This window comes from Homo sapiens, chromosome 8, assembly GCF_000001405.40.
Source record: "Homo sapiens chromosome 8, GRCh38.p14 Primary Assembly".
Taxonomy (NCBI): Eukaryota; Metazoa; Chordata; class Mammalia; order Primates; family Hominidae; genus Homo; species Homo sapiens.
The window spans coordinates 53,932,919-53,948,326 of NC_000008.11; the positions used below are offsets into that span (position 1 = coordinate 53,932,919).

The window sequence follows — 15,408 nt, forward strand, 5'->3', positions numbered from 1 at the left end:
AGGAAGGAACAGGCAGCTGTTCTGCAGCCTTTGCTAGTGATACCCTGGCAAACAGGGTCTGGCATGGACCTCCAGCAAACTCCAGCAGACCTGCAGCAGAGGGGCCTGTTAGAAGGAAAGCTAACAAACGAAAGGAATAGCATCAACATCAACAAAAAGGACGTCCACACAGAAACCCCATCCAAAGATCACCAACATCAAAAACCAAAGGTAGATAAATCCATGAAGATGAGGAAAAACCAGTGCAAAAAGGCTGAAAATTGCAAAAACCAGAATGTCTCTTCTACTCCAAAGGATCACAACTCGTTGCCAGCAAGGGAACAAAACTGGACAGAGAATGAGTTTGACGCATTGACAGAAGGAGGCTTCAGAAGGTAGGTAATAAACTCCTCTGAGCTAAAGGAGCATGTTCTAACCCAATGAAAGGAAGCTAAGAACCTTGAAAAAAGATTAGAGGAATTGCTATCTAGAATAACCATTTTAGAGAAGAATATAAATGACCTGATGTAGCTGAAAAACACAGCACAAGAACTTCCTGAAGCATACACAAGTATCAATAGCCGAATTGATCAAGTGGAAGAAAGGATATCAGAGATTGAAGATCAACTTAATGAAATAAAGTGTGAAGACAAGATTAGAGAAAAATGAATGAAAAGGAATGAACAAAGCCTCCAAGAAATATGGGACTATGAGAAAGACCAAATCTACATTTGATTGGTGTACCTGAAAGTGACGGGGAGAATGGAACCAAGTTGGAAAACACTCTTCAGGATATTATCTGGGAGAACTTCCCCAACCTAGCAAGAGAGGCCAACGTTCAAACTCAGGAAATACAGAGAACACCACGAAGATATTCCTCGTAGAGAGCAACCCAAGACTCATAATCATCAGATTCACCAAGGTTGAAATGAAGGAAAAAATGTTAAGGGCAGCCAGAGAGAAAGGTCGGGTTACCCACAAAGGGAAGCCCATCAGACTAACAGCACATCTCTCTGCAGAAACCCTACAAGCCAGAAGAGAGTGGGGTCCAATATTCAACATTCTTAAAGAAAAGAATTTTCAACCCAGAATTTTATATCCAGCCAAACTATGCTTCATAAGCAAAGGAGAAATGAAATCCTTTACAGACAAGCAAATGCTGAGAGATTTTGTCACCACCAGGCCTGCCCTACAAGAGCTCCTGAAGGACGTACTACACACGGAAAGGAAAAACCGGCATCAGCCACTACAAAAATGTACCAAATTGTAAAGACCATCAACACTATGAAGAAACTGCATCAACTAATGGGCAAAATAACCAGCTAGCATCATAATGACAGGATCAAATTCACACATAACAATATTAAGCTTAAATGTAAACAGGCTAAATGCCCCAATTAAAAGATGCAGACTGGCAGATTGGCTAAAGGTCAAGACCCAACAGTGTGCTGTATTTAGGAGACCCATCTCACGTGCAGAGACACACATAGACTCAAAATAAAGGCATGGAGGAATATTTACAAGCAAATGGAAAGCAAAAAGAAGCAAGCGTTGCAATCCTAGTCTCTGATAAAACAGACTTTAAACCAACAATGATCAAAAAAGACAAAGAAGGGCATCATTACATAATGGTAAAGGGATCAACACAACAAGAAGAGATAACTATCCTAAACATATATGCACCCAATAAAGGAGCATCCATATTCATAAAGCAAGTTCTTAGAGACCTACAAAGAGACGTAGACTCCCACACAATAATAGTTGGAGACTTTTACACCCCACTGTCAATATTAGACAGATTAACGAGACAGAAAATTAACAAGGATATTCAGGACTTGAACTCAGCTCTGGACCAAGCAGACCTAATAGACATCTACAGAACTCTCAACCCCATACCAACAGAATATACAGTCTTCTCAGCACCACATCACATTTATTCTAAAATTGACCACATAATTGAAAGTAAAACACTCCTCGGCAAACGCAAAAGAACAGAAATCACAACAAACAGTCTCTCAGGCCACAGTGCAATCAAATTAGAACTCAGGAATAAGAAACTCACTCAAAACCGCACAACTGCATGGAAACTGAACAACCTGCTCTTGAATGACTACTGAGTAAATAATGAAATTAAGGCAAAAATAAATAAGTTTTTTGAAACCAATGAGAACAAAGACACAACCTACCAGTATCTCTGGGACACAGCTAAAGCAGCGTTTAGAGGGAAATTTATAGCACTAAATGCCCAAAGGAGAAAGCAGGAAAAATCTAGAATTGACACCCTAACATCACAATTAAAGAACTAGAGAAGTGAGAGCAAACAAATTCAAAAGCCAGCAGAAGACAACAGATAACTAAGATCAGAGCAGAACTGAAGGAGGACACCAAAAAATCCTTCAAAAAATCAATGAATCAAGGAGCTGGTTTTTGAAAAGATCAACAAAATAGCTAGACCACTAGCCAGACTAATAAAGAAGAAAAGACAGGAGAATCAAATAGACACAATAAAAAATTATAAAGCAGATATCACCACTGATCCCACAGAAATACAAACTACCATCAGAGAATATTATAAACACCTCTACACAAATAAACTAGAAAATCTAGAAGAAACAGATAAATTCCTGGACACATACACCCTCCCAAGACTAAATCAGGAAGAAGTCAAATCCCTGAATAGAACAATAACAAGTTCTAAAATTGAGGCAGTAATTAATAGCCTACCAACCAAAAAAAGGCCCAGGACCAGACAGATTCACAGCCTAATTCTACCAGAGGTACAAAGAGGAGCTGGTACCATTCCAAACAATAGAAACAATAGAAAAAGAGGGACTCCTCCCTAACTCATTTTGAGTCCAGCATTATCCTGATACCAAAACCTGCCAGAGACACAACAAAAAAAGAAAATTTCAGGCCAATATCCCTGATGAACATCAATGCGAACATCCTCAATAAAATACTGGCAAACCGAATCCAGCAGCACATCAAAAAGCTTATCCACCACCATCAAGTCGGCTTCATCCCTGGGATGCAAGGCTGGTTCAACATATGCAAATCAATAAACATAATCCATCACATAAACAGAACCAATGACGAAAACCACATGATTATCTCAATAGATGCAGAAAAGGCCTTCAATAAAATTCAACACCCTTTCATGCTAAAAACTCTCAATAAACTAGGTATTGATGGAATGTATCTCAAAATAACAAGACCTATTTATGACACACCCACAACCAATATCATGTTGAATGGACAAAAGCTGGAAGCATTCCCTTTGAAAACTGGCACAAGACAAGAATGCCGTCTCTTACCACTCCTATTCAACATAGTATTGGAAGTTCTGGCCAGGGCAATCAGGCAAGAGAAAGAAATAAATGGTATCCAAATAGGAAGAGAGAGAGTCAAATTATCTCTGTTTGCAGATGACATGATTGTATATTTAGAAAACCTCATCATCTCAGCCCAAAATCTCCTTAAGCTGATAAGCAACTTCAGCAAAGTCTCAGGATACAAAATCAATGTGCAAAAATCACAAGCATTCCTATACACCAAGAACAGACAAAAAGAGAGCCAAATCATGAGTGAACTCCGATTCACAATTGCTTCAAAGAGAATAAAATACCTAGAAATACAACTTACAAGGGATGTGAAGGACCTCTTCAAGGAGAACTACAAACCACTGCTCAAGGAAATAAGGGAGGACACAAACAAATGGAAAAACATTCCATGCTCATGGATAGGAAGAATCAATATCCTGAAAATGGCCATACTGCCCAAAGTAATTGATAGATTCAATGCCGTCCCCATCAAGCTACCACTGACTTTCTTCACAGGAAAAAACTACTTTAAATTTCATATGGAACCAAAAAAGAGTTTGTATAGCCAAGACAATCCCAAGCAAAAAGAACAAAGCTGGAGGCATCACGCTACCTGACTTTAAACTATACTACAATGTTGTAGTAACCAAAACAGCATGGTACTGGTACCAAAACAGATATATAGACCAATGGAACAGAACAGAGGCCTCAGAAATAACACCACACATCTACAACCATCTGATCTTTGACAAACCTGACAAAAACAAGCCATGGGGAAAGGATTCCCTATTTAATAAATGGTGTTGGGAAAACTGGCTAGCCATATGCAGAAAACTGAAATTGGGTTCTCACTCATAGGTGGGAATTGAACAATGAAAACACTTGGACACAGGGTGGGGAACATCACACACCAGGGCCTGTCGTGGAGTTGGGGGGAGAGGGGAAGGATAGCATTAGGAGATATACCTAATGTAAATGATGAGTTAACGGGTGAAGCATACCAACATGGCACATGTATACATATGTAACAAACCTGCACGTTGTGCACATGTACCCTAGAACTTAAAGTATAATAATAAATAAATAAATAAATAAACATAAAAATAAAATAAAAAAAGAAAACTGAAATTGGACCCCTTCCTTACACCTTATACAAAAGTTAAATCAAGATGGATTAAAGACTTAGACATAAGACCTAAAACCATAAAAACCCTAGAAGAAAACCCAGGCAATACCATTCAGGACATAGGCATGAGCAAAGACTTCATGACTAAAACACCAAAAGCAATGGTAATAAAAGCAAAAATTGACAAATGGGATCTAATTAAACTAAAGAACTTCTGCACAGCAAAAGAAACTATCATCAGAGTGAACAGGCAACCTACAGAATGGGAGAAAATTTTTGCAACCTACTCATCTGACAAAGGGCTAATATCCAGAATCTACAAGGAAGTTAAACAAATTTACAAGAAAAAAACAAACAACCCCATCAAAAAGTGGGCAAAGGATACAAATAGACACTTCTCAAAAGAAAACATTTATGCAGCCAAAAGACACATGAAAAAAAGCTCATCATCACTGGTCGTTAGAGAAATGCAAATCAAAACCACAATGAGATACCGTCTCATGCCAGTTAGAATGGCAATGATTAAAAAGTTAGGTAACAACAGATGCTGGAGAGGATGTGGAGAAATAGGAATGCTTTTACACTGTTAGTGGGAGTGTAAATTAGTTCAATCATTGTGGGAGACAGTGTGATGATTCCTCAAGGATCTAGAACCAGAAATACCATTTGGCCCAGCAATCCCATTACTGGGTATATACCCAAAGGATTAGAAATCATTCTACTATAAAGACACATGTACACATATGTTTATTGAGGCACTGTTCACAGTAGCAAAGACTTGAACCAACCCAAATGCCCATCAATGATAGACTGGATAAAGAAAATGTGGCACATATACACCATGGAATTCTATGCAGCCATTAAACAGGATGAGTTCATGTCCTTTGCAGGGACATGGATGAAGCCGGAAACCGTCATTCTCAGCAAACTAACACAAGAACAGAAAACCAAAAACTGAATGTTCTCGCTCATAAGTGGGAATTAAACAATGAAAACACATGGACACAGGGAGAGGAACATCACACACTGGGGCCTGTCAGTGGATGGGGGACTAAGGGAGGGATAGCATTAGGAGAAATACTTAATGTAGATGACGGATTGATGGGTGCAGCAAACCACTATGGCACGTGTATACCTATGTACCTATGTAACAAACCTTCAGGTTTTGCACATGTGTCCCAGAACTTAAAGTATAATTTAAAAAATAAAAATAAATAAAATAATTAGAACAAAGTCCAGCAGTATAGAGAATTAGGTAATAATCAATAGGAACAGACAAATCTAATGTTGAAATAGAATAATAGATCCAGAAATTAATTCTAAAGTCTTATTTATGGTTCTTTAATGTGTCCTTGATATTAGCTTGCAATTAGCTCCATCAAGTGATAGTATCCAACGTAAAATGGGCTTAGCAATTTCTTGCTTCTCATGCTGCTTTTATATCTCTCTTCTTTCACATTCTTGGAGTCCCCAACAACAGGGCAGAGGCTGAAGGGCACAGATCTTTTGTGTCGTATGGCTTGGCCTCCATTGAAGTAGGTGAGGGTGACCATCCCTGGTACGGAAAGACAGGTCCGGGCAGGCCACAGTCTGGCTCTCCTGCCTGGCTTCCTGGGAATAATTGAGCAATTGCTCTGTACCAGGCGGGGTTCTGAATGCTTCCACGTCCCAATTTCAATCACTTCTGCAAGGTGACGCAGCTAGGAAAGATGTGACTCAGGCCACTCTGGCATCCAGGACTCACCTCCTCTTCTGACCTCTCGTCAGCCTGCTGTATTAGCTGGGCCGCCCTTCCCATGTTGACCTCCTCCCATATCTGAGCGTTGGCCTCACAGGCAGCGTCATGAAGCTGCCACCATCCCTGTCCCCCTTTGGTTCAGGCCACAGGGATGCCTGGAGCTGGGAACGGCCCTGCGTAGCACTGACTGCAGAGTCTTCAGTGCGTGTGTCTCTGTCTCCTTTACTGAACTGTGAGCGCCTAAGGAGGGGCCTTCCATCTGCTAGTTTATCCCTGGAATGTATCTCAATGCTTGGCAGAGGATAAGCGTTACATGTTGGATACATTAATTGATCCTAAGATTCTAAGCACTAAATTTTACGAGAAGTAGCAAAAATGACCTGAATGTAGTCGCACTGTATCTTTTCAATGATCCAAACAGCTGACTCCCTGGGCTTACGCCTTCATAACGCTGGAACCCCCTCCCGCCCGCTTTGTTCCTCTCCCTCTTGCAGCAGATGGGATCAGAGCGGATGGAGATGCGGAAGCGGCAGATGCCCGCCGCCCAGGACACACCAGGCGCCGCCCCAGGCCAGCCCGGAGCGGGGAGTCGCGGGTCCAACGCATGCTGCTTCTGCTGGTGCTGCTGTTGTAGCTGCTCGTGGTAAGGTTTGGGGCTTTTTAATGAATGTGCTCCTGACTGGGAAGTGTAATGTGCTCCTGACTGGGACGTGGCACCCCTGAAAGTGGTGGCAGCTTATGGTTAATTCAATAAGTGTTTTTTAAGCAACTACTATATGCCTGACACACAGGGACACCCAAGAAATAACAACAGGCTGCATCTGTCTAGCTCTCAAGGGGTTTATGCTCAGATCCCTCAAATCAGGCCAACGTGTGTTAAACAACTAAAGAACAACCTCAGGCGGTTCACGATTGACTATCAACATTTGGGCAGAAATGGTTAGAAAGAATTGGACTCGAGGCACTCCTGTGGTAATGAAGGCTTAGGATCTAAGATAGGTCTTAAAGGTTAGGGCGATGAAGTAGAGGGAGCCTGGATTTTACCTTCTGCTGCTTCCATTTCATAAATTTTGTTTTGTAATAAAGAGAAATGTCAAAATATGTGTTTTAAAGAGAGAGAAATATTAAAATATATGCTAACTTACTGGGTAGAGGAAGACACACAGACAGTCATTGCTTTAAAAAGGAAAGAAACGACTTGAATGTAAAACATCTGTGACCCTTTGAGTAGCTGTTAAAGGTCTGGAGAAAAGGAGATAATTTACACCTAAAAATCATGGGAACTTTAGGTTACATCTTTGGAATCTTGGATATGAAAAGTGCTTAGTGCCAGCCAAGTTTGTGAACCACTTTCAGCAATCAAATCATCCTAAATTTATGTAGGCTTGGCAGTAAGTTAGACCAAGACCTCACTGTCTGCTGGAAGAGAAGAAAAACTGATAATGGACTGATCACGAACCGTGAAATGGAACTAACAGAACTGATCCCTGGGGAGGAGAGTGGAGTTGAAAATGAAATGCCCGGGGAAGTTTGGTGGCTCCTGCCCAACTCAGGCTAGTATTCATTTCCAAGAAGTTCCAATCTGGTGGAAGGGACACAGCAATAGAACATCCACCAAGGGGATCCCGATACCGATGGTCTCTTCATTCCCACAGCAAGAGGAAACGTGGCCATGGGGCTGACAAGAGCTAGGCAGTGTCAAGGTGAGACTTCAGCCCCTGGTAGGAATCTGGACAGCTCTGCAGGAAGCCAGAGGAGAGGCGCTGGTGGTGGGCAGAGGAAACACGTGGGTGTCCAGGGCCTGCCCTAAAGGAGGAAGACACCAGTGATGGCCAGACTGCATTTAGGGGCCTATATTCTCACTCTGCCAGTAGGTCTCAGTGGGGAAATGAGACCATCCTCCTAGAGATGTGCAGGATGTCCAGGTGCAGGTGAGACTCCAGCTGACGTTCAAACCTTCCGCTCCCTCCTTTCTCTGCTGCCTCACGCAGGGTGTGGGAGGCGGCTGACATGCTGACCTGAACAACGTATTGTCCCGGGATAGTGTAAGGCTAGAGGGCGGGTCAGGTCCCAGAGCAGGCTCCTCCTACAGGTAACAAGTAGGACGAATAAAATAAGTATCTGTACCTAAGACACTATCATCACCATCATAGCCAACACTTCTGTAGTACTTAGGTGTGTGTAGAAGAGACAATAGAGCAATATCTTCAAAGTGCTGGAGAAAAGTAACTGAAAACTCCGTCAAACCATAATTCAAGAGTGTGGGTAAAATAAGACATTCTCAGACATACGAAGGCCAACCGAGTTTACTGCCTGCAAACCTAAAAGAACCGAAGAAAGGGCCTACTTCAGAGGAAAAAAAGGGAACCCAGAGGAAAGACTCAGGAAACAAGTAACAATCATAGATACAACGGGGTCAAATATTGATATAAAATGTGGCAATGAATTTTGTGTTAAAAAGTGTGAAACCAAAGCTGTAAACAATCTCATGTCAATGACATACAATCAAATAATTCAGACTTTCTTAGAAAAAATTATTAAAAGAAAATTTTCTTTCAAAAGTAATGTTATTCATAATTAGTCCAAAAATACACCCTATAGTTTTAACATCAGTGAAAGACAATAAATCTAGAAAACCTTACCAACACGTGATAAAAGTGACATCAGCAAAGGAGAAAATGAACTATTCAGTAAATAGCAGGATACTTGGTATTTGGGTACCAACTCATCCCCACTGATAGGACTTTCTCAGTTTTAGCACTGAAAGGTCCCATAGCCCAGAAAACCTGAAAACCCTAGGCAAACCAGGAAAATTGGTCATCCTGCTTGGTATCCAAATATATAAAAATGTATTTATATTCCTACATAGCACCATATACAAAAATCAATTCCCACCTTAAAAAAAAGATCAGCTGGGTGCGGTGGCTCACGCCTGTAATCCCAGCACTTTGGGAGGCCGAGGCCGGCAGATCACATGAGGTCGGGAGTTCGAGACCAGCCCTACCAACATGGAGAAAACTCGTTTCTACTAAAAATACAAAATTAGTCAGGCATGGGGGCACATGCCCATAATCCCAGCTACTCAGGAGGCTGAGGCAGGAGAATCGCTTGAACCTGGGAGGCAGAGGTTTCGGTGAGCCGAGATTGCACCATTGCACTTCAGCCTGGGCAACAAGAGCAAAACTCCATCTCAAAAAAATAAATAAATAAAAAATAAAACACAAAAATTAGCCAGGCATGGTGGCGCACACCTGTAGTCCCAGCTACTCAGGAGGCTGAGGTGGGAGGATCGCTTGAGCCCAGGGAGGTTGAGGCTGCAGTGAATGATGATTGTGCCATTGCACTCCAGTGTGTGTAACAGAGTGAGACTCTGTCTGAAAAACAAAAACAAAAAAAAAAGAAAAGAAAAACCTATACCCTGGAAAAACTTCTCACACCCCTGCAAAAAAAGGAGACATGTATGAGAAGATTCACTACAGCATTCATCTGAGTGAGAAAAATTTAAAATGGTTCTAAAGGGTATAGACAGGAGAATGGATGAATATATTGTGGTATAGTTATACAATCCACTACCATACAGCACTTAAATTCATATACTAGAAAAACAAAACTAAACAAATAAATAAGTTAGGCGTGGTGGCTTATGCCTGTAATCCCAGCACTTTGGGAGGCCAAGGCAGAAGGATTGTTTGAGCCCAGGAGTTCGAGACCAGCTGGGGCAACACAGCGAGACCATGTCTCCACTAAAAAAAAAAAAAAAAAAAGTTAGCCCGGCATGGTGGCATGTGCCTGTAGTCCCAGCTACTCTAGAAGCTGAGGTGGAAGGATCACTTGAACCCAGGAGTTCAAGGCTGCAGTGAGCTATGATCATGCTACTGCACTCCAGCCTGGGCAACAGAGTGAGACCTTGTCTCAGAAATAAATAAATTCATATGCTAGAGGGAAAAAAAATTATAAAGCAATACATGTTACATAATTACATTTATACTATGTTTAAAAATATGTTTATGAATATAATATAGTAGCATAATTATGAATTGGAATGGTAAACAGTAAGTTAAAAATGGTGGCTCTCTCTAGGGTAAAGAGAGGAAGAAATGAGATGGGGAAAAGTACACAGCAAACTTCAACTGTTTTAATAGTGAATTTCCTTGTTTTTTTTCACCACACTTTTGAGATTTATCCATATTAATATACATAGTCAAGTCAATTTTCAAGAAAAGTAAATGGCAATTTCTTTTCTAAGTACTTGTGAATCTTTCTCAACATTTTGCTGTAAGGCCTTCTGGTATTTAGTGTTATAAGGGAAGGCATGCTGATTCTTGTTCAGTTGAATATAAAGTTTTTTTCCTTTCTAGTAAGTTTTCTCTTTATCACTCAAAATTTTACCAAAATATATCTGGCCATGGGTCTTCTTTTACTGAAACTTCCTAAAACACAGCGAGCAACTATCTTGGCTACTATAGACATCTTCTAGGTCTGCTGTAACAATAACAGTGGACCGAGGTAAAGAAAACTTCACAAAAAAAAATTCTTCTCTTTTTCAAAACCACATTGTCTCTTTAAAACATTCTTACTTGAAATGAGGGAAAAAGTATATCAAAGCTGAAATAAGTTTGCATTATTTAGTTTGCAGTACAGCTTCTGGTTCTCTGAGGAACTCCTGTCAAATTCATCTCTTTTTTCCTCTGCTTTTTCATACCCACTGAGCAGTAATGTGTTTTGCTTACAAAAGAAGCCTCGGAAGTCATGCAGAGAGCGTACCACTCAGATGCCTCTCAAGTTTTTTTTGGTTGGATTTTTTTTTAAAGAAGCCATTATTTACTGAAACTATTTAGCCCTGACATCATGAAAGAAAGAAGTCAAAAGGGTTCCTGCATTTCTAATGATTTTGCCTTTAAAGAAAAATAGAGCTACACACACACACACACACACACACACACTGAAAATTTATAAAACAGTTGTGCTAAAAACAGGCTGAAAAACTTTTATAAAATAGTGTTAAGAAAAGATATAATAAAGAATATAGAAAATACAGTAGCAACAAGATAAAGAAAACCCAAATTGTCAGTGATAAAATCCATTTTCATGTTGATGGGATGCTGAAAGCATTCCTGCAAAAATCATGAATAAGGCAAAATGTCCACAATCTCTACTACTATTTAACAATGTATTTGGCCAGGCGCGATGGCTCACGCCTGTAATCCCAACACTTTGGGAGGCCGAGGCGGGCAGATCACAAGGTCAGCAATTCAAGACCAGCAGGACCAACATAGTGAAACCCCGTCTCTACTAAAAATACAAAAATTAGCTGGGTGTGGTGGTGCGCGCCTGTAGTCCCAGCTACTCAGGAGGCTGAGGGAGGAGAATCACTTAAACCCGGGAGGCGGAGGTTGTAGGGAGCTGAGATCACGCCATTGCACTCCAGCCTGGGAGACAGAGCAAGACCCCGTCTCAAAAAAAAAAAAAAAGTATTTTAGGTGTTAGCTAATTAGACAAGAAAATTAGAGGCCTGAGAATTGGAAATAGGTAAAATTCTTCCTATTTGCAGATGAAACCCGAAGAGAATTATAGCTATAACTGATACAAATACAGAAGAATTCAGAAATAAGAAGGATATAAAATTATCATTAAAATAATACTCTGTAGGCTTCAGGTCTTAAAATGAAGAACACTTCCATTTCAATAATAAAATGCAAATAAATCAATTTAGAAATGGTCAAAACATCTGAACACACATCTCTCCAAAGATGTACAAATAGCTAGTAAATGCATGAAAAGATGTTCCACATCAGTAGTCATTAGCAAGATGCAAATCAAAACCACAATGAAATACCACTTCTCACCCACTTATGAAGCTAGAATAAAAAAGACAACAGTAACTGTTGGCAAGGACATGGAGAAATTGGATCCCTCAAATATTACCATGTGAAATGGTGCAATTGCCTTGTAAAACAGTTTGGGAGTTCCTCAAAATGTTAAAACTCAAGTTACCATATGACTCAGCAGTTCTACTCCGAGGTTTCTACTTGAGAGAAACACAAATATATGTTCGCACGTACTTGCACAGGAATGTGCATAGCAGCATGATTCATGCAGCCAAAATGTGGAAACAACCCGAATGTCTATCTGCTGATGAATGGACAAACGAAATGTGATGTGTCTATCCAAACAATGAGATATTATTCAACTGGAAAAAGAAATGAAGTGCCGATACATGCTACGGCATGGGCTAAGTGCAAAAACATTACGCCAAGTGAAAGGAGACAGCCAGCAAAGATCACATACGGTATGCTCCACAACAGGCAAATCTATAGAGACAGGAAGCGGATTCGTGCTTGCCTAGGGCCGGTAGAGTGGGGAGATACAGGTGATAAGCAGTGACTGCTTACTGGTGGGGTTTCTTTTGGGGGTGATGACAATGTTCTGGAATTAGATAGTAGGGATGGTTGCACAACTTTGTGAGTATACTAAAAACCACTGAATTGTACACTTTAAACAGATAAACTTGACGGCATATGAATGATAGCTCAATAAAGTGATTAAGAAAGTGGCCGGGCACGGTGGCTCATGCCTGTAATCCCAGCACTTTGGGAGGTCCAGGTGGGTGGATCACTTGAGGTTAGGAGTTTGAAACCAGCCTGGCCAACATGGTGAAACCAAATACAAAAAGTAGCCGGGCGTGTTGGCACATGCCTGTAGTCCCAGCTACTCAGGAGACTGAGGCACAAGAATCGCTTGGTTGCAGTGAGCTGAGATTGCGCCACAGCACTGCAGCCTGGGCAGCAGAGCAAGACTTGGTCTCCAAAAAAAAAAAAATAGCATTCATATTACAACAATAACCAGTTACAAGATGAGATAAAAGTACAAATTCCATTTACGATAACAACAAAAATACTTGGAATAAGTTTACAGACAAATGTACAGAATGTGTATAAGAAAACAAACTCTTTAGAGAAATACAATAGATTTTGATTATGCACTTTATTTTTCTCTACTACTTTTGTATATTTGCCTATAAATATATGAAGCCTCCATTTTGACTGGAAACAAAGCCTAGAGGATGTATACTTTTTAAGATGCAGAAAATGAAATGAAACCCCAATACATTCCTGACAGTCTTACTTTTTTACTATTTTCATTTTTTTAATTTTTGTATTAAATAGAGACAGGGTCTCGCTATGATGCCCAGGCTGGTCTTAAACTCCTGGCCTCAAGTGATCCTCCTGCCTTGGCCTCCCAAAGTGCTGGGGTTACAGGCATGAGCCACCGCGCCGAACCCTTTTTTACTATTTTCTAATGAATGTTTTTATTTAAAAAATCATTATTCTAAGTATAATTGAACACAATAATTTCTAACTCTTTCTCAATAGTAGAAACCACAACGTTTATTTATATTTCTAGTACCTTATTGTCACACTTTTGGTTTGCTTGGGAAAACTAACTGGGGTCATTTTTTTTTCCAAGTAGAGGAAGAAATTCTATTAATACTTGGGGATCTGAAGTTCTCTTTAAAGTATTTGTAAAAAATCTTTTCTTGGCAGGGACTGAGCTGTCAACATGTGAATGTCTTTTTTTTGCAGTCTCACTGTTAGAAACCAGGAAGATCAGAGGCCCACAATAGCTTCCCACGAACTCAGAGCAGATCTTCCAACCTGGGAAGAAAGGTGAAATCACACGTTTTTTTTACCTCACTAAACTAACAGAAATACTAACCTCTTTCTTTTCTTTGCCTTGTATGTTTCAACAGAACACATACTTTCTCTAACTGTAATTTAGTAATATCCAATCATTATGTGGCCTCGCATTCCTCCCCTGCAGAATTCCATTTAATTCATCGTGTGACAGGGAGAGAAATCAGTTCCATTATTAGTCTAATCCCTTTGCTAATTGCAAATACAAATAGATTCTTCCTAACAAAACATATTATGTTATTTTATTTTTATATAATATACTTTTAAAAATAAAAGTATATCATATAATTTTATATAAGATATAGCATATATATTTATATATACTATATATAAAATACAGCATATATACTTATATATGCTATATATATGATATAGTATATATATTTATACACTCTATATAAGATATAGCATATTTATACACGCTATATAAGATATAGCATATTTATTTATACATGCTATATAAGATATAGCATATTTATTTATACATGCTATATAAGATATAGCATATATATTTATACATGCTATATAAGATATAGTATATATATTATATATGCTATATATAAGATAGTATATATATTATATATGCTATATATAAGATATAGTATATTTATATATGCTATATATAAGATATAGTACATTTATATATGCTATATATGATATAGTATATACATTTATATATGCTATATATAAGATATAGTATATACATTTATATATGCTATATAGGATATAGTATATACATTTATATATGCTATATAGGATATAGTATATACATTTATATATGCTATATAGGATATAGTATATACATTTATATATGCTATATATAGGATATAGTACATACATTTATATATGCTATATATAGGATATAGTACATACATTTATATATGCTATATATAGGATATAGTACATACATTTATATATGCTATATATAGGATATAGTACATACATTTATATATGCTATATATAGGATATAGTACATACATTTATATATGCTATATATAGGATATAGTATATACATTTATATATGCTATATATAGGATATAGTATATACATTTATATATGCTATATATAGGATATAGTATATACATTTATATATGCTATATATAAGATGTAGTATATATATGCTATATATATGATATAGTATATATATTTACATATGCTATATATATAAGATATAGTATATATATTTACATATGCTATATATAAGATAGTATATATATTTATATATGCTATATATATGATAGTATATATACTATATATAAGTATATATGCTATATGTAGGATATAGTATATATATTTATATATGCTATATATAAGATGTAGTATATATATGCTATATATAAGATGTAGTATATATATGCTATATATATGATATAGTATATATATTTATATATGCTATATATATGATATAGTATATATATTTACATATGCTATATATAAGATAGTATATATATTTATATATGCTATATATATGATAGTATATATACTATATGTAAGTTATAGTATATATATTTATATATACGATATATGATACAGTATATATACATATGCTAT

The 15,408-nt window shown here is 38.2% G+C and overlaps 1 protein-coding gene across 6 annotated transcripts in view, besides 5 other annotated features; it reads left to right on the forward strand.

Annotated features, from left to right (window-relative positions):
* RGS20 (regulator of G protein signaling 20) overlaps nt 1–15,408 on the forward strand; it is a 107,509-nt gene that overhangs the window by 81,124 nt on the left and 10,977 nt on the right. For 3 of the 6 annotated variants that reach the window (NM_170587.4, NM_001286673.2, NM_003702.5), the window contains 2 exons: nt 6,658–6,806; nt 13,747–13,830. The exons of 1 other annotated variant lie outside the window; for it this stretch is intronic. In NM_170587.4, coding sequence (NP_733466.1) covers nt 6,658–6,806; nt 13,747–13,830 — 233 coding nt within the window. The remainder of the gene's footprint in view (nt 1–6,657; nt 6,807–13,746; nt 13,831–15,408) is intronic. 2 more of the 6 variants (NR_104579.2, NM_001286675.2) reach the window with 1 other exon arrangement.
* Nucleotides 11,491–12,690: an enhancer, noted in NCBI's record as "P300/CBP strongly-dependent group 1 enhancer chr8:54856969-54858168 (GRCh37/hg19 assembly coordinates)". NCBI's record gives its function as "activates an origin of replication core promoter dependent on BRD2, BRD4, P300/CBP, MED14 and CDK7 cofactors, with strong dependence on P300/CBP, by STARR-seq in HCT116 cells {active_cell/tissue: HCT116}" and the evidence as "EXISTENCE:reporter gene assay evidence [ECO:0000049][PMID:35650434]".
* Nucleotides 12,151–12,445: a silencer, noted in NCBI's record as "tiled region #14152; K562 Repressive non-DNase unmatched - State 1:Tss". NCBI's record gives its function as "represses a minimal TATA promoter and a strong SV40 promoter by Sharpr-MPRA in K562 cells {active_cell/tissue: K562}" and the evidence as "EXISTENCE:reporter gene assay evidence [ECO:0000049][PMID:27701403]".
* Nucleotides 12,151–12,445: an enhancer, noted in NCBI's record as "tiled regions #792 and #14152 (exact overlaps); HepG2 Activating DNase unmatched - State 1:Tss". NCBI's record gives its function as "activates a minimal TATA promoter and a strong SV40 promoter by Sharpr-MPRA in HepG2 cells {active_cell/tissue: HepG2}" and the evidence as "EXISTENCE:reporter gene assay evidence [ECO:0000049][PMID:27701403]".
* Nucleotides 12,276–12,325: an enhancer, noted in NCBI's record as "active region_27367". NCBI's record gives its function as "activates an Ori minimal core promoter by ATAC-STARR-seq in GM12878 lymphoblastoid cells {active_cell/tissue: GM12878}" and the evidence as "EXISTENCE:reporter gene assay evidence [ECO:0000049][PMID:35858748]".
* Nucleotides 12,336–12,475: an enhancer, noted in NCBI's record as "active region_27368". NCBI's record gives its function as "activates an Ori minimal core promoter by ATAC-STARR-seq in GM12878 lymphoblastoid cells {active_cell/tissue: GM12878}" and the evidence as "EXISTENCE:reporter gene assay evidence [ECO:0000049][PMID:35858748]".